A 26,204-nucleotide genomic window follows, 5' to 3' on the forward strand; every position below is an offset into this window, starting at 1 on the left:
TACCAATACTTTGGGAGGCTAAGGCAGGTGGATTGCTTGAGGTCAGGAGTTCAAGACCAGCCTGGCCAATATGGCGAAACCCTGTGTCTACTAAAAATACAAAAATTAGCTGGGCATGGTGTTGCGCGCCTGTAATCCTAGATACTCAGGAGGCTGCGGCACAAGAATTGCTTGAAACTGGGAGACGGAGGTTGCAGTAAGCCAAGATTGCATCACTGCACTCCAGCTTGGGCAACAGAGCGAGACTCCATCTCAAAAAATAAAAAATAAAAAAAAGAAAGAGTGAGTTTCTACAGGAGTGTCAGTTGTCACTTGCAGCAATGATTTTGGCCTGTTTTTAGGGGAAATGCCACCAAAACAGGAAAGTCACTCCACGCCTCTCCTTCCAAATGTCAACTTACCTCCAGAAGCTCCTGTTTTCCTTCACTTTTCATGGCCTTCTGGAAGTCTTTGCGGTGTTGTTGATGTGTTTGTGTTACTCTTTTTGTTTTGTATCTTATTCAGAATTTATGATTGTTACCTACGTGAAGATCCATCCAGCAGGCGTTGACTTGGTCATGCCGAAAGCTCAACTCCTTCAAACACTTTTTGAACAGTACCCCTTTCATCTTCCTGCTCTGGTAGCTGGAGACTCCCGCCTCCCTGGATCTCCTGCGAGTTCCAATTTGTTCCCCTGAAATAGACTGAAAGCTCAGCTTGTCCTGAATCCCATGCCAGAGCCTCAGGGAAGCTGGTCAGTAATTTCTGCTTATCCTCCGACTCCCTCTTCTGGCTCTTATAGCTCTAGCTTCTCCCACAATTATATAAGATCTCATTCCTAAAAATAGATTCCTATTCCTAGTGGTTCTGTTTCCCTCACTGAACCTTGATTGAGTTCCATTTGAGTTCCATCCATAAGTAGAATGGCAACCTAAACAATTTATGCTTAATGCTTTTTGTAGTGAGCAGGAGGCAACAATTTCACGCCTTCCTTCCACCAACCTTGGTCCTGCTCCCAGCTGGGCTGAGCTGTAATCTCTTGGATGCTCCATAAAGATCAAACGGCTGTCTCCTGAGCTGTATCGAGGGCACAGCTTTAAGTAGGCATCACTATTTGCTGAACATATCAAAGATGGGCTGCCCCAGGAGGTATCACAACTTTTACTTACAAGTCAGAGGTAAAGAAGCCAGTAGTGACCATTATTGCCTCTTGAGAACAAAGACATTCATTAGTGTGAAATGCTGCTGAATGTAGCGACACTCTTTTGATTTGTTTGCCACTTAGACCCCCAAATCTGAGCTTTTCTTTTTTCTCTGCTAGCAACAAATGCTAGTCAGGACCACCAGGGAGCGCTGTTTACTCTATAACCATTCCCAGGCTGCGTGTGGGTCTGGAGCTGAGATATTTCGCACATAAATTAATGGAATTGGCATTCCATTGTTCCAAGTGTCAAAACAACACAATTTTGGCAGATTTCCATTTGAAGCTCAATCTTTTTTAACAAGCCATCAGAGAGTCTTAAAGAGAGTTAAAAGCAATGCAGTGGGTCTTTCTATGAAGTGCCTTTGGTTACCTGGATTGTCTGCCCTGAGAAAGGTGGTTGAAAGCAGCTAATCACACATAAAAGTCACCATTGTCCTCCTTCCCAGAACCTGGCTGGATCTGCTGTGAATCACAAGTAATCCCATAGTTTAGGATTTGGATCATGGTCGGCCAGAAGGGGCTTTTTAAAGGTAGTTTAATATTGGAATTGAATTCTGTGTGCATTTCGTAGCGTGGATGAGTTTGAATTATTTTCTATTAACAATTCCACATTTAGGTCCTTGTGAATAAGGACTACAAAATTGAGAAAATAAATCCAAAGACTTAGGGGTGGAGAGGGTGAAATCGATATGACAGCAGAACCCAGCCCAATTCAATCCCAACATGTTGGAGCTGGTTTAATCTGCATCTTCTGGCTGGTGGTTATGGGAACTGACTGGCTATAACAACTTCCATTCTTGTTTATGGGCTGTCCTGCATACTGTCTCATTCTTTCTGCCAGAAAGACCTGTCTTTCTTTCCTTGCATCTCCACTATTAATCTCCCACTGTTCCTGATGCCTGTGATCAAACATCATGAAATTTCTTCAGCCATATTTATTGAGTGCTGGATATGGTCTAGGCTCTGTACTTATTTCTGGTGATGTGGCCCTGGGACAAAAGACTTTGCTGAGGGGATAATATTTGCAAGGAGAGGGACATGATAGGAAAAGTATTTCAGGAAGAGAGAGTGGCAAGTACAAGGACTGTGGAGGGAGAGAACTGGGCAGAGCCAGCAGAGGGAACAGGATAATTAGTATAAGTGGGGGCAGGTGGGCCGTGAAATCATTTTTTATCTTCTCTAGGCCTTTAAAACATTTAATGTGTGCCTATTTTCTGATGTTGATTTGAGATATTTGTGCATGCATATTATCCTGCCTAATGGGCTGTCAGAGGGCAGGCACCCTGCCTATAAGTAATTCACTCAACAGTTACTATTGAACTGAAGAATGCATAGACACAGAGTGGGTCTTATTCCTGCAAGACCTGATCATCCACAAGGAACAGGAATGCAGCTGAGTGAGTGGGCATGCAATGAATTTGAATGCCTGGGTGTTCCAATGAGGATGGATTATTATGTGAAGGTGCTGTAACAAATAATCCAAACTTTCAGAGGCATACAACAGCAAACATTCACTTCTCATTCCCTTTTTTTTGTGTCCACTGCAGGTTGGCAGGGGTCTGTGCCCATTAACGTCACTTAGGGACTCAGTTGATGGAGCAGCTACTAACTAGACCAAAGCCAGTCATTGCACCTGCCCACTCCAAATACTGGGTTCGGTGAGGAGTGTGCATTAAATAGCCATTATTAACTGACTGCAGGACGAATTCTCCAGTCTCAAGGTTCTTCTGGAATGACAGAATGCACTGAATATGCTTGTGATTGCTTTATGCTGAGAAGCAGGAAAGAGTTTAATGTCAGTGAAATTTTCAAATAAATATAGTTTGGATAATATGATTTTGCATAAGTAGATAGGGAGCAGAATAGGGTAATTATTTAGGAGTTGTTACTCAAAAGTGGCCCACTGACTCACAACATCAAGATCACCTGGAGGCTTGGGAGAAATGCAGAGGAGAAGGCCCCACCCCTAGCACCTAAATCAGAAGTTGCATTTTAACAAGTTCCCTTGGTCACGTGTATACACAGGAAAGTCTGAGAATTGTCTATTTAGAGCAAGGAGTCTATGGTGGGAGAGTTGAGTTTGAATACCAGCTCTGCCAATTAGTTGTTCCGTGACATTGGGTAAGTCTCCTAAACTCTGTATCTCAATTTTCTCATGTGTAAGTGGGGTTAATAACAAAAGTAATGTCATAGGACTGTTGTGAGGATTAAATGAGTCCACACCTGTCAAAGTACTTAAGACAGTGCCTGGGACAGAGTAAGGAATCTGCAAGTGTTAGAGATGATGATGATGGTGATCGTGATGGTGATGGTGATGATAATAGTAATGGTGATGATGGTGATGGTGATGGTAATTATGATGGTGATGGTGATGATGATATGATGATGGTGGTGGTGGTGGTGATGATGATGGTGATAATGATGATGATGATCATGATGATAATGGTGATGATGATGGTGATAATGGTGATAGTGATGATGATAGTGATGGTGATGATGATGGTGATGATGATGATGGTGATAATGGTGATGATGATGATGATGCAAATACAGTTAAGGAAATACCAGTGTGATTACTTCCATTTGTAACCTAATCCGAAGCTTCGTTAACCTAATTCCTATAGTAAATTGATCATTTGCTGGCCTTGAACCCTAGCGGAAGGGTGAAGGGTAGAGATTCTACTCTGTGGGTCTTAACCACAAATGTGAGAGGAGTCTGGGCATCCAACAGGTACCACGTGGAGAATGGGATGATAAGCAGGTATGGGCATTTGAGCATCACTCTTAAAAGTTGTTTTCACAGGCCAAAAGTCACCTGCATCTTGCATCTTATCTAGGGATGCTGGGCCCATGTCCTCTTCAGGGTCGATTAAGCTCCATACAGGCTGAGTTCAAGTAGCAGTGCCAGAGAAGCACAAGGGTCTCAAGAGGTTGTCTGGGATGGTAAGTGGAAGTTACAAAGGGACAATTCTTCAGTGCTTGTTTAAAATAAAAGGGCCCAACAAGTGAAACCTGACACAAAGAGAGACCTAGCAAGTGAGACCTAACACAAGTTTCCTAGACATCTGGTGTAGGAAACAGGCACACCTGAGCACACACCTATCAGTCTAGTGAATGGTTGCGAATGTGGACTTTGAAGTCAGATGGTCTAGATTGAATCCCAGCTCAACCACTTCCTAGATGAGTGGCATTGAACTAGCCACTTCACTTCTTTGACATCAGTTTTCTTATGTGTGAACTGGAGATAACAAGAGTACATGTTCATAGGGTTGTTAATGAGATATTTGGCAATTAGGAAGTACCTAATAAATGTTAATTGTTATTATCATCATCATCACTATTAACAGCTAAATGAACTAAAGGTAAAATGAGTGATTCTGAGATTCCTCATTAGTAAAGTAGGGCTAATAGTCTATGGATTTACAGTATTCATTCATTGGACAAGGACTTATCTTCACATACACACTTGTTTTAGGGGATAGGAATACAGGGGTGAGCACGTCAGACATTGTCCCCTCATGGAGTTGACATGGAACGAGGAATGAGCAAGCAAACAAATAAAGGAACAAGGGCAGACAGCGAATGGCCCCCAATAAATGTTCCCTAAATATATTTTCATTAGATGGAATAAAGGCTGGAATCTTTATCCACACGGAGAGAGGAAGAATGTATTATTTCTACATTCCACACCTCTGACTCCTCTCTACCTTAGCCAGACTTAGACCTGGAGTTAATGAAAGAGGGGATGACATATGGCTTACGGTTCGTACCAATGCAATACTCAATTTGCCTTAGGGTTGGTGGTCATAAACTGGCCCGGCTCCTTCCAGGGGGTGCAGAGAGCTGATTTTCAATGTATGGGCTGTCACATACCAGCAAGTGGCTTAATCTCCTCTATGAGCCTCAGTTTCCTCATCTGTACCAATGTACCAACCAAGGTCACTCACCCCCTCTCTTCCTCACCTCCATAAAGAGAACCCTCAGGTACCCAGTTGTTTGGGCCAAAACAGTGGCCTCTTCTTTCCCTCCCACAGTCCACACCCATCCATCAGCACATCCTGCTGGCTTCACTTCCACTAGGCATCATTAACTGGTCCTTGTCTCGACTTCACAGCTTTGCTCCTCTTACTCCAGTGCAAGCATCCAAGACTCCTGGGTGCCTTGAACCAGCTCTTAATTAGACTTCAGGCTTCCTTGGCTACTCCTATAGGCTGTGGTCTACAATTGGCCAGAGTGATCCTTCTGAAAGAAAAATAAGACCTTTCAGGACTCCAGCTTAGTGTCTTTGCACTTTCATTTTTATCAGCCTGAGAAGCTCTTTTCCCAAAAATTGCTCTCACTTCACCCACCTTCCTAAAGTTGCACCCCCAAATCAGACTTTTCCCTTATTTTGCTTTATTTTTGTTCACAACACATATCACTGCATTAACAGATACAATTACTTGTATATTACTTTAGAGTCTGCATCCTCCACTAGAATGTAAGGTCCATGAATTTAGGACTCTCGTCTATTTTGTTCACTGGCAAAACCCCAAAATTTGGGCCTGACAAATAGTAAGCAAGTGACACCTATTTGTTAAATGAATGAATGAATGAATAAAATGTCCAAGGATAATAATAATACACCCCACGAGTGTGAAGAGGATTAAATCAGATAGTGCCTATATGTTTTAAGAACAATGACAGGACACAGAACTAAGCATAGACCTTTCTATCATTTTTCTCCCTTTTTTCCTTCTTCCTCATTTTTTAATCGCTAATAGTAAGCACCATAGTCAGGACTTGATACTCAGTTTGCGGGATGACCATAGCTGTTTCATGAGGCCAACATATAGCCTTTCTTTTCCATGTCCTCGGCAATATATACCCATATGTCCCGTCTACAGGTAGACAATGCAAGAAGCCTTTGAACTAAAATCACAAGTTCCACCCCTCATTTTATGCGATATTCACAATTTAACATTTAAGCATGAACAAAACAATCTGAAGTTGCCTCATTGACTTAGGAACCCTGAAACCCTGTGGAAGCAGCAGGTTTCCTCTTTCCAATCATTCTCCTCTCCCATAAATTATGTTAAGTGCTTCCATGTGCCCACAGTCCTTAAGGAATTCTGCAACAGCCTTTGAGGAGATTAGAAGCCTCTGATGTTCCTTATGAAATTCAGAAAACCATCTGGAAGTAATCTAAGTTAAGGAATTAATGATTTGGGGGTTAAATGATACATGACTTAAAAAAAATAAATACAGAAAACTTTATTAGCCCATGAACCTCAATTTTTGTGGATTTACCTATGAAAGAGAAATTGACTATATCATCTGTTTTATTTGTTTGTTCAGTTTTGTGTGCATGTTTGTTTGACTGCTCTTGAGAGGGACACGCAATAGATTAAATGGAGTCCTAAAGGAAGGTTTGCAGAGAAGCTTTCATTTGCTGGGTCTCCTGAAGGCTCTCACAGGGGATGCCCGGAGGCATCATAGTCTCAAGGGGCATCTGTGATTCAGGATCACCTGAAGACAGTGGCTGCCTTTGGGGTGCTGTGCAGTGAGCTTATCTGATTGAGAATCCTTTCCCCACTCCAACCCCATGTTGAATTAGTATTTATTTTGCTGTGGCTTGTTTGGTAGCCCCTGGTTTTGATTATTTGCATCACAGAGATGTAGTCCAGGACCTGACTTGTCTTTGCAGTAGGGACAGCAATGTTCTGTGCCAAAAGGAAAGAAATGATGTGGAAAGAAGGTACATTATGAGGCTGCATAGAACAGGGGAGTGGAGGGCACTTCTTTGGGTTTTTATTTTTTGTCCCTGTTATCCAATAGGGAGGAGAGAGGATAAGGCAGATTCCCATCCTCAGTTACAAACAATGGGACATGTGTATTTCTCCCTCATGCTGGGAACATTTAAATGAAAAAAAAATTATTCCCCGGTGATGTTCAGGCTCAAAGCACTGAGAATAAAACGTACCTTCCGTTTTAGGAGCCCAAATCTACTTTACAACTGCCCCCTGCCCCCAAGGTCAGGTCTACACTAGCTGAATGTACTGAAGAATTGGGCGATTATCAGCATAATCCACTTTAAAAATCAAGTCTCTGCTATCCAGGCCTATGAGAATCAAGCTTTTACCGTTCCCTTTGGGGCCTGGATAGTTTTCAAGCTGCCTTCTCCTCACATCATGTGAGTAGAGCCGGCCAAGAAAACCAGGGAGACATCTCCCCCCAGCCTGGCCCAGACTTCCGGGCCCCACCCCAGGAGAGAGCCTCCCACTCTGGCCAGTGCCCTGCAAAGCCTTCGCCCCACCCCGCCCCAATTTCTCCTTATGCCTGGCTCATTCCTTAGGGGCTGAGTTGGGAGATAAGACTTGGGGTTGCAGTTGCTGGGGATCATTCGTTTACATTTCTTTTCTTTCAATCAAGGACTTCTTTTTTTCTTTTGAAATTCTTTCCTGCACTGATGGTGAGAAAAGACCCCTCAGGCTTCCTTTTGATGTTGGACCGAGCCAGCCCACGGTGAGAGGGGATGCTGAGCCCGTGGTGAGGAGCTCAGGACAGGAGGGGACGTCCAGAGACCTCCGAACCCATGGCCCTTCATTCCCAGTCACAAGGGGGGAGTCGGGGTCCCGCCCTCAAACTGCTCAGACCACGCGTGGCAGAAAGAGCAGAGCATGAGCATCAGGAACCGCACAGGGAAGCCGCTGAGATCACCTGGGATCACCACCATGAGGGAGGCCAGCCCTGGAGAAATCAGAGGGAAAAGATAGAGAGAACGAAGTCGGGGGGGGGGGGGGGAGGGCGGATCTTCCTTGTCTGAGTCTGCAGAGAAATTGCCTATTGCAGGAGCAAGTCTAGAGAGGGGCTATTCTCCACCCACTGAAAAGATAATAAAACACATGCTATGGGCGGCGGGGAGATGATTGGGGAGTGGAAGCCCCACAGACATGCAGTGAAAAATGATCCTTTCTTCCCCTCTGCGTTCTCGTCCCCTTCCCAGAGACACCGCTGTGATCTCGTGCCTCGCCCCCTCCGCACACGCACAGGTGCACACCCGCATCTGTCTTGAGCCCGCACCCCGCCTTCACGCTCCGCTGCGCGCTGCTTTTCCGCGCTCAGTGATCCAGTTAGGAGCTCTCCCCGCAGCAGCTGCGCGGGACTTTGCATTCCAGATGTCCCCAGCCCTCCAGGCTAAAGCAGCGGCCACCTGAAGTTGAGGAATGGGGCGTGACGACCACCAGGTCCCGCAGTGACCACGGGAGGGTGGGGAGAAGGAGTCCAGCTCCGCCTTGAGCGTCGGGTCCCTGGGCAGGACCCTCCGGGCCACGGGCCGCTGTCCGTTGGGCACCCGGGCAGGAGTCTGCGAACGCTGAGTTTCTCTGGAAAGGCGCGGACCCCCGGAGGAGCCGTCCCAGCCGCCTGGGGAGACGCCCCCTCCTCTCCCGGTCTTCTTTCCCGGGCACACCCTCCCTAGCCCGGGCGGGGGGGTTCTCCATCTGCCGCCCCTCCCGGCGGGCAGGCGAACTCTCTCCTACCGCACCCTCAATCTGTCCGCGGTCGCGGGGCTCGGCGGGGGCGGGGCCCGGGCGGGGGCGGGGGCGGGGCCGGGGGCGGGGCGGGCCGGCGGCTGCGGAGGCTGCGGAGGCTGCGGGAGAAAAGTTGTCCCGGCCGGAGCGCGAGCAGCGGCGGAGCCGGAGCCGCCAGAGCCAGAGCCGGAGCTGCGGCGGCGTGGACCCGGCAGGGGCGGGCCTCGGACAGCAGAGACGCAGCGGGCCCGGCCGACCGGGCTGCGGGAGTGGCCCCGGGCATGGGGCGGCCGGCGGGGGCCGCGGGCGGGCGCTGCGCTTCGGGCTGGCGGCGGGCTGCGTGAGCGGCCGGGACGCAGGATGCGCTCCGAGGGTGCGGCCCCCGGGCCGGCGGCGCCGCTGTGCGGGGCGCTGAGCCTGCTGCTGGGCGCGCTGCTGGGCAAAGGTAAGGCCGGGGCGGGTGCCTGGCGCGCCGACGCATGCGAACTTCCCGGTTCCGGGGGAGCTCGGGGTGAGGGCAGCCGAAGCGAGGGGTGCGGCGGGGGCCTCGGCGGGGGCTCGGATCCCATCAACAGCGCCTCTGCGGGTGCCGAGCCGCCCCTAATCCAGAAGGGCGCTCCCAGCTGGGCGCCGGGATCCGGGCAAGTTAGGCTGGTCCCGAGTCCCGAATCTCCCACCCCGGACCCCCCAGACCCAGAGCTGCCCCGCGGATGAGGAGGGGGCGTGGCTGAGGGACACGGTGTTTGTTCCCCATCCCTGAGTTCCGTGCGGACCTGCCCCAGCCCCAGCACAGTCACCCTGTGGAACTGGCATCCAGGAGAGGTGCTCCGCTCTGTGCGCTCCTTCCTCCCGGCTGTGTGCTCCCTGTCCACAGCTCCCCATCCACAGCTTCGGCACTGTGGGGCTGGTGCTCCAGGAGGGAAGGCCCGGTTCTTTGCATCCCCTTTCCGCAACCGCTAGGGTCTCTGTGCGGGCCCTAGAGGAACGCTCACTCATCGCGCAGCTCACCAGGGACCCCAGCTTGGCAGAAACCAGGGGCTCTCTGCGGGTTCTCTCAAATGAGTCCTTTGCGGTGGGGGAGCGCGGATGGGGAGGTGGGTGCGTCCCTCGCGACGGGAACTACCTCACCAGCGGTCCTGTCCGGGGCTCCTTCACCTCAGTGTCCTCTTCTCTACAATGGGAGTGACGGCCCTGCTTTGGGTTGGAGGAATTTAAAGGAGTTAACGTATGGCGCCCGCAGGGCTCACGAAAGGTAGCCGTGTGGTTTTTCCGACCTTTTTTATTATGTGCGTGTGCGGCCGAGTGGCCGCGCGGATGCGGCGGCGGGAAGGGCGGGGAGAGGCGGTCTCCAGCCCCAGGAGCCGCGGGGCAGGCGGGGAGCAAGGCCTAGGCTCTGCCAGGGCAGCAGCTGCCCGAGTCCCGGGGCGCGCCCAGGGCGTAGAAAAAGGAGAGCGTCGCTTTCCTGCTCCCCGCGCCCTGGCGAAGGTCTCGGGTTCATTTGGTTAAACGGAGGTGCGCACATGGGTGCCCTGAGCCTTCGCGCGGCGCCGCGGGTCCAGTATCGGCCCCAGGCTCTGAGCAGAGAACACTCAAAGCCACCCTTCTCCCGCCTAATGCTCTGAGGCTGAGCTAGAAATGCGTTCAGAGAGACAAGTTGTCAATGGAGGTTTAAAAGTAGCGTTTGCTTTTCAAAAGTCATTCTGCACCGCCTGAAAATCCAGAAAAATCTACTTTCCTTGAGGCTGCGCTTTCCCAGATACACCAACCAGACAAGTTTGCTATGTTTTATATAAGTGTTCCTTTCTTCCAAGAGCTCCAGGTAGGGAGGAGGGTGGGGTGAGAGAGGGGGGGGAAGAAGGAGTGAGAGAAGAGGGAAAGAGAGGGTGGGGCGAGAGAGGGGGGAAAGGGGGTGAGAGACGAGGGAAAGGGGGGGCAAGTCGGGGGTGGAGGAGTAGGAGAGGGGGGCACTTTTCTATTTTATTTGAAAGAGTCAACAGTCACGATCTGGTGCCTGAATTCTGCTGTTAATTAGCTCTAGGTTCCAGCGTTTCTAGGATTCAGTTTTCCTAGATGCAAAGTGGCCATTGAAGAATTCCCTTCCCAACCTACCTCCCAGCAGTTTTTTGTTGATAAAATGACTGAATGGGTAGTAAAGCACTTTGCAGAGGAAGGCGGTGCTAATTGAGCAGGGCGTGACCGACCTCCTCCGGGTTTTCACCCCTTGCCCTTGAGAGAATTTAACCAGGCGAACTGGATGTTCCCTTTAAAGCAAGTGTGGACTGTTCTTCATTAAGGCTCACATTCCGTGTGTGTGTGTGTGTGTGTGTGTGTGTGTATCCAGAGGATTTTACTTTTGATTACGAGAGTGGCTGTTACAGATGTCCATGTGTTCAGTGCTGGGGGCAGTGATTTGGCTGGAAAGGCAACTGGGACTGGATTTGAAGCTGATATTTGCACAACAAGGGAAAGTGCTGAAAACTAGGGACGTAGCGAAGCCCCACCCCTATCCCAAACCGCCTCTGCCCTCTAGCTAAGTGCAACCTTGATTTGATGGGGCTTTCTTTCCCTGCTTTTTGCTTTACAAAGTTCACCACGTGATTTGGGGGTGCATAAGGGCCTGCAACTTATCATCTGCAAAATACATTTTCCGTTTGTTTCTCATGATCAAAAGCAGCAGTTCATTCCCCCCTCGGATTCCTCCACACGTAAAGCGTTTGCACCGTAAGATATCTTCTAGAGAGGAAAGTTTGCTGACCTTGTTTACATTTCTGCTGTCTTTAAAAAAAAAAAGCCATCTCTGTCTCTTCCTGCACACGGATTTAAGTGCTGATTTCTGGAATCCTTGAAACCACTGATTAATTTTTAATACCAATTGTCTGTTTATTTTTGACTGTGGATTTAGAGGCTTTGCAATTTGTCAGGGTTCGGAAAAGGCAGAATTGTTCTTGGGAGGTTCCATAAATAGGACAGGGCATTGAAAGAAAGAAATCTTTTCCTAAGATTTAAGACTTGGGCCGAGGCAGGAGAGGCAAAACATCCTTGAATTAGAGGTTGATGTATTGCGCCTGTATAAAGCAAGTGGAAGGGCGGTGCCAGGCTGAGATGCCCTCGGAAGTTTAGTGATGGTTGTTAGTCACATATGAGACCTTCTGGGAAGGTTATGTGGGACCACATTCTCTTTTCTGAAATCTGTGGGGGCAAATGTATTTCAAGATTTAGAATTACTGATATCTTTGAATGACAAGATAGAAGGAAAGATAGAAAAATAGAGGCATGAAGTCATATGCATGTGTGGTATGGCACCCTTAGTCTGCGTCTGGAGTTGCAGCCTGTAATTGCACATCGTGCTGACTTTGTGTGCAATGTATGAATCTTTACCTAAAGAAGGATAATAAGACCCCAAATAGCTTGACTTCAGATCAGTGTTGGCCACGGAATGAATTAAATACAACCAACCAGCCAAACCTTGGGATTGTCAGTGCTTTAGGGGTTTTGGGTTTCTGGTAAGGGATTTACGTTCTATAGCAGGGATGAGAAATAGGATCCTCCTAGGATGTCATCAGGGTGGAGAAGCCCCTCTCAACTCACCCGCATTCGTGCTGCCACCAACGAATGATGCTCTTGTCTTGTCCTGCATACACTTACATGTGTACACTTAGCACAGACACATAGGTTTTCTTTTCATCCTTGTCCCTTCTTATCCCTCAAGTCGAAATTCCTTACTGTGTTTTAGCCTCTTAGTAGTTATTGCAACTTCTTGGAAATCATTCTATTAAACCATCAGATCTCAATGTGTCCTATTATAGTTCTTCTTCTATACCCAAATTTCTTTACTAGTGCTTGCGAACTTCAGGACCCACAGACAAGTACTGTTTTATCCATACAATTTTTTTTTTCAAAGGCTCCCAACATTTAAAAATTGTGAGAGTTGGTCAGGCACGGTGGCTCACACCTGTAATTCCAGCACTTTGGGAGGCAAAGACAGTGGATCACTTGAGGGCAGAAGTTCAAGACCAGCCTGGCCAACATGGTGAAACCCCATCTCTACTAAAAATACAAAAATTAGCTGGGCGTGGTGGCGGGGGCCTCTAATCCCAGCTACTCGGGAGACTGAGGCATGAGAATTGCTTGAATCTGGGAGTTGGAGGTTGCAGTGAGCCAAGATCATGCCACTGCACTCCAGCCTGGGTGACAGAGTAAGACTTGGTCTCAAAATAATAATAATATAATAATAATAATAATAATAATAATAATAATAATAATAAAATGAAATGAAGAGAAATGGGATCATTCACATAAAAAAATTAGGATTTCCACAATGTGTACATATATCAAATCATCATATTGTACTCTGTAACTGTATATACATTTTATCTGTCCATTATAAAAAAGATTTTATTTCTAGTTTGCTAGAAGTTGCATATAGAATTTTATCAAATGCTCTTTTGCATCTACTGAGATGATCAAATAAGTTTTCTCCTTCATTATGAAAAGCAAATTAGGATTTCCAACTTCTCTCAAAAGTGTCGAGAGTCTGCCAATCTTGGGTGTAATTTCTTTTATGGCTACCTTGTGCCAAAGCTGAGCAGGGGTGTCCTCCTCTGGAGAATGTGTTTATTCAGGTCCTCTCTTCCTCTGCTCACTCGCCTGACCCTTCCCTTAAGCAGTTGAGTTTTGCTTCAACCTCTTCTTCGTTCATCTCACTGTTCACAGTTAGCTTAATCACCAGGGTGGCTACAGTCATGCAGAGAAGAGCTCAGCACTCTCAATTATATTAGTAGTTAACACCTCCATGAGCAGAGGTTAAAACAAAGCCTTTGGATGTATTAGATATTTCATACATCCATAGTCATAAAAAGCAAGGTTAATAAAAATGTGTCTTTGGTATATTAATTGAAGTGAAGGAAAGTATTACTGAATTAATGGAATAAATGGAACATCTGATCGATAGAACATTTTTACAGCCATCTACTTTGTTTAAAAGCCAGGCTTATTAAAGTGTAATTTGCACACAATAAAATTCACCTCTTTGAGTGTATAGTTCTAAGTTTCGACAAATGCACACAGTCACGTAAACATCACTAGGATTGCGGTATAGAACGTGCCCATTACTCTCCAAAATTTCTATTTGCCTTTGTAGCCCCCTCCTTCCTCTACCTCCAGTCCTGGCAACCACTGATTAGTTATTTGTCTCTAGAGTTTTACCTTTTTCAAAATGTCATAAAAACAGGATCATGCAGTATGCAGCTTTTGGATCTGCTTTCTTCTACTTAGCAGGATGCATTTGATAGTCACCTATGTATCAATAGTTTGTTCCTTTTCAATGCTGAATGGCATTCCATTGAATGAACGCACCACAGTTTATTTCATACTGAAAAGACCTTAAAATTATGCAAGTTTTGGGTAATTATGAAAAATGTTGCTATAAATATTCACCAACAATCTTCATGCAAACATATATTTTCATTTCTCCTGAGTAACTAGCTAGGATTGGGATTGCTAGGTTGTATGCAGACTGTATATATAACTTCATAAAATACTGCAAACTCTTTTTAAACATAGTTTTAGCAGTTTGCATCCCCATCAGCCATGTCTAATAGTTGGTTTGTATCTTCAGCAGCATTTGATATTATCCATTTTGTTTTGATTTTGTTTAGTCATTCTGATAGGTGTATAATAGGCATTTCTTTGAGGTTTTAATTTTTGCCCTCATGACTAATAATGTTGAATAATATTTCTTGTGCTTAATTGCTGTCCTTATATTGTCTTTGGTGAAATATCTTTTTCAAATATTGTACCCATTTTTTATTGATTATTTTCCTGTTACGATTTTTGAGAGTGCTTTATATATTCTGAATGCAAGTCCTTTGTCAGATAAGTGTTTTAAGATAGTTTCTCTGAGTATGTGTCTTTGGAAGAGCAGAGGTGTTACATTTTAATGATGTTTAGTTTATTAATATTTTCTTTTAGTTATTGGTTTTTTGGTGTCACATCTAAGGAAGCTGTGCCTTACCCAAGGCCACAATGATTCCCTAAATGTGTATAGTGTTGTTCAGGTCTTCTATATTCCTACTGATCTGTTTGTTCTGTCACTTATTGAGAGAAGAGTATTGAGGTCTCCAACTATGTTATGGTTTTGTCTGTTTTTTATTTTAGCTCTGACAGCTTTCGTTTCATGTATTTTGAACACTGTCTTAGGTACATACTTAGGATTTTTTTGTTGTTGTTCAATCAATCCACCTTTATGTAATGCCTTTCTTTATTCTTAGAAATATTTCTTGTTCTAAAATCTATTTTATCTGATATTAATATAGCCACCTCAGCTTTCTTTTGATTGGTATTTTTATGGTAATATCTTTTTCATCTTTTTACTTTTAACTTATGTCTCTATATGTAATGTTGGTTGTTTATAGGCAGCATATAGTTGGGTTTCACTTGTTTATCCAATCTGATAATCTCTGTCTTTTAAGTGTAATGTTTAGACCACTTATATTTAATGTAATTATTCATCTATTTGTATTAAGATCTACTATTTTGCTCATTGTTTTATTTATGTTCCATCTGCTCTTTATTCTTCTTTCCCTACCAGCTTTTATATTGAGTATTTTCTATGGTTCCATTTTATCTCCACTATTGGCTTATTATTTATACTTCTTTTTAAATTTTAGTCATTGCTCTATGGCTTACAAAATACAATTTTAATTAATCATTACTTGCATTCAAATTATGTTACGGTGCTTTGTATGCTATATAAGAAATTTACAACAGTATATTCCTTACACTGTTTTCCTCTACTATGTTTTCAAGTACATGCACTCACGTACCCTAGGTGTGACTGGGAGAATTGTCATTTAAAAATTATCTTTATGTCTATTAAAGAAGAATAAAAATTGTATTAATGGTGTTGCTTTTGTTTCTAAATGGGTACTTCTGATGTTCTTAAAACCAGTTTCTCTTCAAGATGTTATTCTCCTACCTGTGCACTGAGCTCCCTTGTTTTATATGCCTTTAGGAACTTAGAAGTTGCTGCATTCAAGGAGAAAGCAAATGTGAAATACAACCCATCTGGAGTCTAAATCAGCAAAATTTCCAAGACAATGGATTCCAGTTATTCTCCCAGAGAGACTGATTTCTTGTCTTCCACAATGTGTACGCATTTTTTCTTCCTGATTAAGGATGTTCTTAATAATGTGTTAGGAATGTTGAGTTTACACTTGCATATGGCTGGAATCCTAAAGTAACCCAAAGACTTAATATAGAAGACCATGTCTTTTCTATGTATAACATTTTTTTCTTTCTTCTCTCAATACCCTTCATCTTGCCAGCAACATGGTGAGTTATCACTTATGGACTAATTAGGAAGGTTCAGTATCATAGAAACAACAGCTTAAGTTTGAGCTTCTGTTCCACCAGTTCCTGGATGAATTGGTCAGAAGTCTTTGGTTGTTAGCAACAGAAACATCTTAATACCTTAATTGCTTATTACTAAGTTATAAGAGATTGGAAGCTCTTGACTCCAGAGAAAGCTAAAGGACGAGGTTTCCTATGAGCAGGAAGCTGCCAGGTGCTGGGTTCCTGTAGCTATAATTGTCTGGCTTCTTTAGGGTACCGCAGTTGGAAAACAGGAACCATTTTACTTATTTTTGTCTCAGTGCTCATGTTTTAGATTCCAGGGTGAAAGAAGCCTATACCTTGGCTAAACTTTTCACCTGGGGAATTTTGAAAATACCAATCCCCAGGCCTTATCCCAAACCAATGGAATCAGGCTCTTTGGTAGGGATGGAGTAGGGGTGGGTGTGGAGGCAGGGCTGATCAGTTTTACTGTTTAAAAGCTCTTCAGGTGATTCTAACTCTCAGGGATGCACACAGATTGTGTAGGCCCATCTCTATCTAGAAAGGTATAAGACAGCCTCATTAATAGTTCCATCATTTTGTATCCAAGGGGAAAGGATTTTCCTCCCAGAGAAAAACTGAAGAGCTGTTACTAAAAGAAGGTGTGATGGATGCTGGATGAAAAATCAACCAATGTTCATTCCACTGGCCCTAAGACCTAGTGTATGTAGTGAAAAAATAAAGGACAGCTTTTCTGAGCCTCAGTTTTGTTTTATAAGTCAGGGTTCCCCAACCCTCTGGTCATGGTTTGGTACTGGTCCGTGGCCTATTAGGAACTAGGCTGCAGAGCAGGAGGTGAGTGATGGATAAGCGAGCAATGCTTCCTCTGAATTTATAGCTGCTCCCCATCCCTCACATTACTGCCTGAGCTCTGCCTCCTGTAAGATCAGCGGTAGCATTAGATTCTCATAGAAGCTAGAATCCTATCATGAACTGTGCATGCGAGGGGCCTAGGTTGCATGCTCCTTATGAGAATCTAATGCCTGATGATCTGTCACTGTCCACCACTAGCCCCCAAGATGGGATGGTCTAGTTGCAGGAAGACAAGCTTAGGGCTCCCACTGAATCTACATTATGGTGAGTTATATAATATTTTATTATATAGTACAGTGTAATAATAATAGAGATAAAATGCACAATAAATGTAATGTGCTTGAATGATGCTGAAACAATCCCCCCACCCCCTGGTCCGATGTAAAATTGTCTTCCACAAAACTGGTCCCTTTTGCCAAAAAGGTTGGGGACCACTGTGCTAAGAAGGGATAATATCTATTTTATAGGATGGTTGACAATATTTAATGCAAAAGTGGACTAGAGATACTTAGCACGCTTTATGAATTTCCAAGGGCAGTTGTAACAAACATGGAAGCTTAATGTAACAAAAATTGGTCCTCTCACAATTCTGGGGCCAAAAGTCCAAAATCATATGTTGTCAGGGCCATGCACTGTGCTGAGCCCCCAGGGGAGGATCCTTCCTTGCCTTTTCCAGCTTCTCTTGGCTCCTGGTGCTCTTGGCTTGTGGCAGCATCACAGCAATCTTTGCCTCCGTCTTCACATGGCCTCCCATTCTAAATGATCCTTACCTGTCTGTCTTATAAGGATACCGGTCATTGGATTTATAACCCACTGTAATCCAGGATGATCTCATTTCAAGATCCTTAATGACATCTGAAAAGAGATTTTTTTCTTAAGCAAGGACATATTCACAGGTTCTAAGTGGACATTCGCTTTTGAGGCCATGCAAACTATTGCATGCGGTAAGACTTGGCATATAGTAAAGTTCAATAAATCAGGGCCATCATTATTTGTATTATTAAAGCCATGGAGAAGAAGAATCCACAGTACAATACAATGGAAACCTTACATAGATATTTTTTAAAAATAACTGAGAATAATTTAAAACACAAAGCAAAGAAAACAGAACTGTGCATTCAACAATATCGGGGAATAGGAAAACTGGTCAAGTGTGAGGTGTTTGTTTATTGTAGACCTAAACAGAGAGCCAAAGGTTTATATTCTGAGACATCCCTTGACCACTTCATGCTTAACTACAGCTTAGGCATAATTCCATCTGGCTTAGTGTTAGGATATTCTTGACACGATCTTAAGCTTCCCTTCTCCTTCTGAGTTCTCAGAGTCATGAAAACCATCCAGAGCAGGCCCCATTTCTCTCTTAGGTTAATTTTTTCTCCCAACTCTGCAGTTGACTTTTTTCATCCTTCTTGCTCAATTGGTCCCTCTGGCCCCATAATTATGTTTACTTTTGCTGTGTTTCCTCACTGTCTCTGCGGACCCAGATGCTGTAGAAATGTGGATCAAATGCTGGCCACTTTGGCACGCGGTATTCTACTAGCAAGTCTTTGAGGCAACAAGGGATTCTTATATTCCCAAAATAAAGGAACTTGAAGAAAACTGCCTCCTGCCTCAACACACACATGTGTGCATGCATGTGCGTGCATGCACACACACACACACACACACAATTCTAGGCTAGTTTCTGGTCTTATCATTGAGTTACAGCTTAGTGATGATTTTAAGACAAAACAAACAAACAAAAAAGAAAAAGCTCTTACTTATGCCCTAAACAAGGTATTCCTGAAAATGTGATTTTTGTCTCCACTGGAAACAATGAGGTTGGGTTTGACACACTGAAGCAGTTTTCCCTGTTTGATGGAAATGTTTTTTGAATATGCACCAAATTATTCAGTTTCTTATTCACGATTCCTCTAGTTACAAATGCCAAAACTCCCAGCTTAAGCAAACCATACCAAAGTCAAAAGAAGGAAAAAAATAATTTGTTCAGTAACTGCAAAGTCCAGATAGACTTCAGGCACAGCTGGATCCAGGGGTCAAGTGATGTCATTGGACAGTTTCTGTTTCTCCCAATCTCTTGGCTGCTCTGTCCTCTTTGCTGTCTTCATTTTGGAGAGGCCATCATTATCAACAGCACCTCCAGGCTTATATTCTGTCCACACAGCATACTCAACTAAAAGAAAGTGACTTCTCACACGGTTGTAGAAAAAGTTGCAGGGGCAGATTTTTGGCACTCACTACAGCCTTTCGCCCACTTACTGCGGACTTAAGGGAATGGGGTTTTCTGATGATGCAGATCTTGGGCACAGGAATTCTGGGAGCCTGGGGGTGAGGTCACTTCCACCCACACCACTAAGATAGAAGGTGTGATGATGCCCAAACACAGGTGGAGCTGTTTCAGAAGATGGGGAATGACTGCCCAGCAGGCAAAACCCTATTCATCAACCAAATGAGCAAAATGAAGGGAATCAAAAGCCACTGGATGGCCACTTCTCACGGGTGTGCTCCACATTGTGGGGGCAGCCCACATGGGAGGTCAGCTCGTTTCTCCTGCCTATGCACAAACAACAAAGTCCAGGACATCTCAAATTAGGAAGGTGGCCTTCTTTATCTCTCATCACATCTCTACCTCTGGGTGGCTTTTCCTCTTTTCTGCTTGTCTTGACCTTCATTCATTCTTCTCTCATTGATATCCAGCCATCCAACATCCCTCCAATAAGAGATGGGCACTGCAATAGTAGCATCTTCTATCACTGACCTCCTCTTGCAGATAAGGAGACCTTACTTTCAACCTCAGGTGCTCACCCCCAGGACTGTGGGATCCCTGGGCTGAGTTGCTAAAGCCTGCCAGTTTCTCATGCCGCAGCTGTATACGGTGACCCTAAAAGGCTTGCCCCTCTGGCATCCTGATTTAGGAGAACAAAAATCTCAGGGGAAGTCTATGTTTCGGGGCATTTGTTCTGCTCCGGCTTTGTTCCCTCTTTCCTGCCTCCTAAATGGCAATAGGTTCTTATCTTCAATTTTTGTAAACCTTTTGGGTCACGACACAGCCCCGGGTTACCATTTTCTTTATTTTCCACTGTTTAATTGTAAGCAATGAATTGACTGAGAGAGCAGACTTTTCTCATTTGCCTTCAAACTCAGTGTTTTCATCTGTCGTGTTCATATCCTATTAACTAAATGACGTTTCCTAGCTGGGATCTCTCACTGCCTTCTCCTGGTCAGTTGTCTCCCTGGCCATGTCCTGGCCCTTGACCCCAGCCTGTCTCCCTGCGGCACCGATGCCATGGAGGTGACAGCTGGCAGTGGTTTGACTGTGTGGTTGCCTGTTAGTTCTGGGTGGGAAGGGGTCCCCTCTACCATTCACAGAGGCAAGAAGCCTACAAACATCAGCTTTTTACTAAACCCCGGTGGTCAGGGTGTCCATGATGACTAAGTTTTTGTCTTAACTTGTGTGGGCCACGGTTCCCAGATATTTGTGCAGACTTGATTCTATACGTGTATGTGTGTGTGTGTGTGTGTGTGTGTGTGTGTGTGTGTTTGGGTGAGATTAACAAATTGGTGGATTTTGATAAAACAGGTTACTCTGCATAATGTGGGTAGCCTCATCCAATGAGTTGAAGGCCTGCAGAGATCAAAAGGCTGACCACCCCTAGAAGACAAGAAGGAATTCTGCCAGTCGACAGCATTTGGACGTGAACTGCAACATTAGGTCTTCCTTGGGTCTCCAGCCTGCCAGCCCACCCTACAGATTTTGGACTTGCCAGACTCCATAATTGCATGAGCCAATACCTTAAAATAAGTTTCTCTCCTTATATACTCACTCTATTGGTTCTATTTCCCAGGAGAACCCTGAGTAATAGAGGGTCCTGGAAGATCTAGTCCCAGGCAAAGGGAATTTTGTTTTCTCTCTCACATATCTCACCTGTCTATTCTCCAAGCACACTCATTATCTCCATTCCTTGAAGATAATGGATTCCCAGAACTGGCCACATAAAAGGAATATACTTCAGAGACAGAATTGGTGCTGTCATTTTTTTTATTATTATTAAATCACTGCTAATCCTCTAGAGACAGTGCTTCCTTACTTTGTTCATTAGCCCGACGGGAAGATCTAAATGTCCACCATCCTCAGCAAACACCAGCTGCATGTTTAAGCCCTTCTTGACTAGTGGTCAGATCATGTCCTCTGCCCCAAATTCTCTAGTGTCTCCCATCACATTCAGAGGTAATACCACAGTCTGTGCGGTGATCTACAAGGCGCTCTGTAATCTCTGACCCCGTAGCATCCTTCTGACCTCATTTTCAACCCCACACTCTGCTCCAGTCCCATGGGCCTGCTTGCTGGGCTCACCACCCCAGATAGGCTCCCACCGCAGGGCCTTTGCACATGCCTACTGTGGGGTAACTTCTAGATACCCTCATGACGCACTTTCAGCTTCTCAGATCTGTGTGCCAAGGGCACCTCCTCATGGAAGTCTCCCTATGCACATTGTCTGTTGTTCTCCATTCCTGCCCTTTCTGTGCCCTGTCCCTATTTTGTCCTTTCTCTTTGCACTTATCACCTCCTGATAAACTATAACTTTGACTTATTTAACTGTCTTCCCATTCCCTAGAATTAAAGCTCCATGAGAACAGAAATTTCAGCCTATTGTTTCATGGTTGTATTTATCTATTTTGCTGATGGCTCTAGTACCTCTGGTACTCTGGTGAGGCCCCGAATGCTTGATAAATGAATGAACGGACAAGTGAATAAATGACTTCAGTCTGTCTTCGGCTTCTCATATTATCTGTCCTTCATTCTGAGCCAGTCTCTTGAATCTTGATAGCCCAAGATTCATGCTGCCTGCTACATACATGAAAATGGGGAGGTAAGTTTTATATGCCAGAAATCTCTGAAGGCCACCATTTTATTAAAGGTCTCTAGCTGAGAATGGAGCCTGTCTTCATCTCTTCTCTCCGTCAGTCGCTCCAGGGAAGTGCCCCCGTCAATTTGAGGTGAGAGTGCTCAGAAGAGGAGTGTGATACACAAATTCACATGCTGGCCAGGGGCAACATTTTCAAGTCGCCGACTTTATTTCTGAGTTGTCCTACCCTCCCTTGTATCCATCTGCCTCTTACTTTCAGGTGAGATATAGGAGGGGCTCCTTCCTTGTAGACAAGAGATTCTCAAAACTGACTACATTAAAGGACTAAACTTCAAACACAGACCAGAATTCTATCATAAATAGTGAAAAGCATCCTAATATCCTTATATAAGGAAAACATGCTTAAATTCAGTTAACTTAATAGCGTAATCACTAGAATAATGGGGACGGACTACTAATGAGTATAAGGTATCTTTTGAGTGGATGGAAAGATATTATAATGAGGCATCAGATGTGACTTGATCTGGGTATTCAATTATAACATTAGAATTTGTTTAAAAAGTGATTTACTCGGCCTGTTATACTGTTGGCTTCCTTATTAGGTTCTAATTTGTGGCTCTTGGAAGTTCCAAGTTTACATGCTTGAGGGGTCAAATATCTCTCTCTCAATAATCCCAGCAAAAGTCATACTGTGTTTCATTGGCTCTGTTTGTTTCATATGCCAGTTTCTGAACCATTCAACCCAGTCAATAGAAAACAATGTGCTCTAATTATCCAGGCCAGGGAGCTGTGGGAGGAGTTCATATGGGCTAGAAGTGGGATGCAGAGAAAAATGTGGGTGTTGTTACCCACATTTGAGACCAGAAAAAGAACGATACATATTCCTACATCTCCAGCTTTGAGACTGTGATCAACACAGGTCACAGGAACATAGAAGAGTCATGCAAGCAAGTAGTATCTCTTTCCTCCTCAGAAGTCTACTTGGATTAGTATCTATGAACAGGAGACAGCATGAAGATGTGTTTTCCTAGTTGAGTTTGTGTCATACTTGCCTGAAACCAAGGATAAGCAAACATCATGTATCACTCAGCTGTCAACCCAGGCTGCCTTCAATATCAGAGGCAAAATGAGATAGATACAAGAGGTGGCCCGAGTGCCAGTTGGAAGAGAGAAAGATGAGATCTAAAACAGGTTTGTTTCAACAAGTTAGGACCCCTTCCTCTCCAGACAGGTCCTGTTTGGGAGGCAAGATCAAGGCTTGGTGGTTATACTGGCCTGAATCAAATCCCTGCTCCACTGTGTAGACATGGGAAAGCCAATTGTAGCATCAAACCTCAGCTTCTGGGTCTGTCACTGGGGCTAGTAAAATGTGTCTCATGGAGTTATTTAAAAGGATCAAATGACCTAATGTCTATTTGTCTTTATTTTTCATTTGCACATTTTGGATACAATCTCCGTTGTTCTCTGTCCTGCTCTGAACCCTAGGAGGCTGACCCTGCAAAGGGCAACTCCTGGTTCTTGTATCTGCTGGATTCCATGGGGGGCTGACTAGTGGGGACATGGCAAGAGATTGGAGGGCAAGAGAAAGGAGAAGCTGGAATATTTGTTCCCCACTCGCTCCTTGTTTGGGCCCATCTCTGGCTGTGCCTTTGTCTCCCCATGAATCTAATTCCTGTTGGGTGGCCTCTGTTCAAGATTCCAGCTCCCACTGACCTTGAGGAACACTCCCTTCTCCACTTCCCCCTTCAGGTGAAGATAATGTCTATTTCTTATCTCTAGGTACCCAGCCTCATTATTTCATTTCTTCCATAAATAGTTCCTTCATAAAAGGGACTTTGAACATTGGAGTTGGATTCTCTTTCCTCCTGAGGCTGACACCTATACAAATAAAAACTACTCATACATAGTGGAAAATGGCTGGAGTTTTTTGTTGTTTTTATGTTTAAACAAGCTCAAACATTTAGAATATTTCAAAAATAGGTGCCTAGAACTTTTGTCCCATGAACCATCTCAGAGTAACTGGCTGAGTTGATGCTTATCATCCCTGAATGTTTTGTTGTGTATTTCTTACAAACAAGACATTCTCTTACAAAAGCACAAGATAACATCAAAATCAGAGAATTACCACTGCTGCATTATTACCACACAATACTGTTGTATTATTCCGTTTTCACATTGCTATAAAGAATTCCCCTGAGACGGGGTAATTTATAAAGGAAAGAGGTTTAATTGACTCACAGTTCTGCATGGCTTGGGAGGCCTCAGGAAACTTACAATCATGGCAGAAGGCAAAGGAGAAGCAAGTACCTTTTTCACATGGTGGCAGGAAAAGGAAGAGGCAAAAGGAAAAGTGTCCCTTATAAAACCGTCAGATCTTGTGAGAACTCACTCATTATGATGAGAAAAGCATGGAGAAAGCCACTACCCCCCTCCTCATGATCCAGTCACCTCCCACTAGGTCCCTCCCTGGACGTGTTGGGATTACAGCAGTTCCAGATGAGATTTGGGTGGGGACACAGAGCCAAACCATATCAACTATTGTCCCAATAATTCACAGCAGAAGGATCTAGTTCAGGATTGCACATTGCAGTTAGTTGTCATGGGTTTTTACTTTTTTTCAGTCTTCCCTTGAATTTCATGACTTTGACACTGCGGAAGCTTACCAGGCTAGTTATTTTGTGACACGTCTCTCCATTCAGATTTGTCTGATGTTTCTTCCTGATTAGTGATTCAGATGCTACATTTTGGGCAGGAATGCTCCAGACAGGATGCTCTGCTGTTGTCTTTGTACTTTATCGGGTTGCATGGGATTTAAATGTGTCACAATATTAATGATGTTCTCTTTGATCACCTGATTAAGGTGGTGTCTGCTGGGCTTCTCTACTGTGAGGTTACTCTTATTCCCTTTGAAATTAAGACATATTTTGTGGAAAGATGTTCAGAGTCTACGTGATGATCCTGTTCCTCATTAGAATTTCAACATTTCATTATGAATCTATAACAGGATGGGTTCCTGGATTTCTTTTGTACTCTATGGCTTACATTTCATTACTATAACTGTTTATTTTGATGCTCACAATATCACAGGTTTGGCCAGTGGGAGCCATTTTATGACAACTTCTGTGTTGTTCTGACATGTCCTCCTTCTTTAAGCACTGCCCTACTTTCTGGATGTAAGATCCTCAAGGCTCATCTGTACCTTCCCTGCCCCAGTTTTGGAATCAGTTCAGTTGCTTTTAGTGGGGAAATGGTATTTAGACATCAAGATCCTGGCTCTGCATGTGCTCATGACTAATGGGGTGCTCTAGTTCCACTCAGTGGACAGAGGCAGGAAATCATTGTGCACACATTGGCCTTTCTCTCTTCCTCTCTCATTACCTCTCTACCTCCATCTACTGTTCTGTATCTAGGCATCTCTCTCTCTCTCTCTCCCTCTGTCTGTCTCTCTCTACTAACCTATCCTAGCTATCTACTGTTCTCTGTCTACTGTTCTGTGTCTATCTACCTATGCCTCCAGCCATCTATCTATTATCTAATCTATTTATCTGCCTTAAAAACCATGAGTTCACACTGATGCCTCAGATTCTAATCCAGCACCACAGGAGTCATTCTAGGTTTCTTCCTTTCTGTGTTTGTAGTTCCCTTTTCCTAATCCCAGGCCAGGCCATTTCCCCTGCCTTCCCCATCTCAGTCCACTCAATCTCCAGCCCCTGATGCCGCCTGTCCTCCTTGCCACTCCTCTGACCCCCTGCCTCAGCCACTGAGTCTCCACTGTCTGCCTTGCTGGGCCTCTCCTGATGGTGTTGGGCTGAACTGTTCAGAAGCAGGAGGAAGAGGGGCAGCATCCAGTTTGTATCTTCAGTTACATGAACTCCATTATATTATCTGTTTAGAAGAATCCTATAAAGTTCAAGTCAAAGGAATGTGCTGCAACTTCTCTACCTCAGGATACCCATTTTTTGGCAGGTCGGGGTGGTGAATGAGCACGTTGACCAGAGAGGACCATGGGCCCATGTACCACCATGTACTGACCAGCCATTCCTAGGAAAATAACGTGAGCCAATTTGCATAACAAGTCTACTCTTACATATCTATATCCTATTGGTTCTGTTTCTCTGGAGAACTCTGACTGATACAGCATCTAAACAGTCATTCGTGTTTAGGAGTGTATAGTGCTCTGGGAGGACCATCATTTGTGTGACAGATATACATATGTGTGTAAACTTACTCTTATGGTAACCTCAGGAGATAAGCACATTTGTTAGTCCTACAACTGGGGACACTGAGAGCATTTCTAAAATGTAAAGCAAATGATTGGCAGAGTCAGGGTTTGGACCTACTGGGTCTATCTCCATGGTCCTTGGCACATGTGCTGTGACCACCACACTGTGAGTGCCCTCAAGCCTATGTGAAGCCAATCCACATCAATCTAAGCCA

General features: G+C 44.6%; 1 protein-coding gene and 1 long non-coding RNA gene across 4 annotated transcripts in view, besides 3 other annotated features; one reads left to right on the forward strand and one right to left on the reverse strand.

Annotated features, from left to right (window-relative positions):
- Positions 866 to 1,367: an enhancer, noted in NCBI's record as "OCT4-NANOG hESC enhancer chr12:128743759-128744260 (GRCh37/hg19 assembly coordinates)". NCBI's record gives its function as "activates a minimal SCP1, AML or CMV promoter by ChIP-STARR-seq in naive H9 embryonic stem cells {active_cell/tissue: H9 hESC(naive)}" and the evidence as "EXISTENCE:reporter gene assay evidence [ECO:0000049][PMID:30033119]".
- LOC107987176 (uncharacterized) lies at positions 4,599 to 8,684 on the reverse strand. The gene is made up of 2 exons (XR_001749176.1): positions 8,223 to 8,684; positions 4,599 to 5,425 (listed from the first exon to the last, which is right to left on the reverse strand). It is a non-coding gene; the product is annotated as an uncharacterized LOC107987176 (long non-coding RNA).
- Positions 7,968 to 8,489: an enhancer, noted in NCBI's record as "H3K27ac-H3K4me1 hESC enhancer chr12:128750861-128751382 (GRCh37/hg19 assembly coordinates)". NCBI's record gives its function as "activates a minimal SCP1, AML or CMV promoter by ChIP-STARR-seq in naive H9 embryonic stem cells {active_cell/tissue: H9 hESC(naive)}" and the evidence as "EXISTENCE:reporter gene assay evidence [ECO:0000049][PMID:30033119]".
- Positions 8,685 to 8,821: 137 nt separating the features above from the next.
- Positions 8,822 to 26,204, forward strand: part of TMEM132C (transmembrane protein 132C) — a 440,742-nt gene continuing 423,359 nt past the window's right edge. For 2 of the 3 annotated variants that reach the window (NM_001136103.3, XM_047429886.1), the window contains exon 1: positions 8,822 to 9,139. In NM_001136103.3, coding sequence (NP_001129575.2) covers positions 9,055 to 9,139 — 85 coding nt within the window. In that variant the 5' untranslated portion in view covers positions 8,822 to 9,054. Of the gene's footprint in view, positions 9,140 to 9,643; positions 9,947 to 26,204 lie in introns of those variants that run through there. The other variant, NM_001387058.1, reaches the window with a different exon arrangement.
- Positions 9,025 to 9,863: an enhancer, noted in NCBI's record as "H3K4me1 hESC enhancer chr12:128751918-128752756 (GRCh37/hg19 assembly coordinates)". NCBI's record gives its function as "activates a minimal SCP1, AML or CMV promoter by ChIP-STARR-seq in naive H9 embryonic stem cells {active_cell/tissue: H9 hESC(naive)}" and the evidence as "EXISTENCE:reporter gene assay evidence [ECO:0000049][PMID:30033119]".

This window comes from Homo sapiens, chromosome 12, assembly GCF_000001405.40.
Source record: "Homo sapiens chromosome 12, GRCh38.p14 Primary Assembly".
NCBI classification, from domain to species: Eukaryota; Metazoa; Chordata; class Mammalia; order Primates; family Hominidae; genus Homo; species Homo sapiens.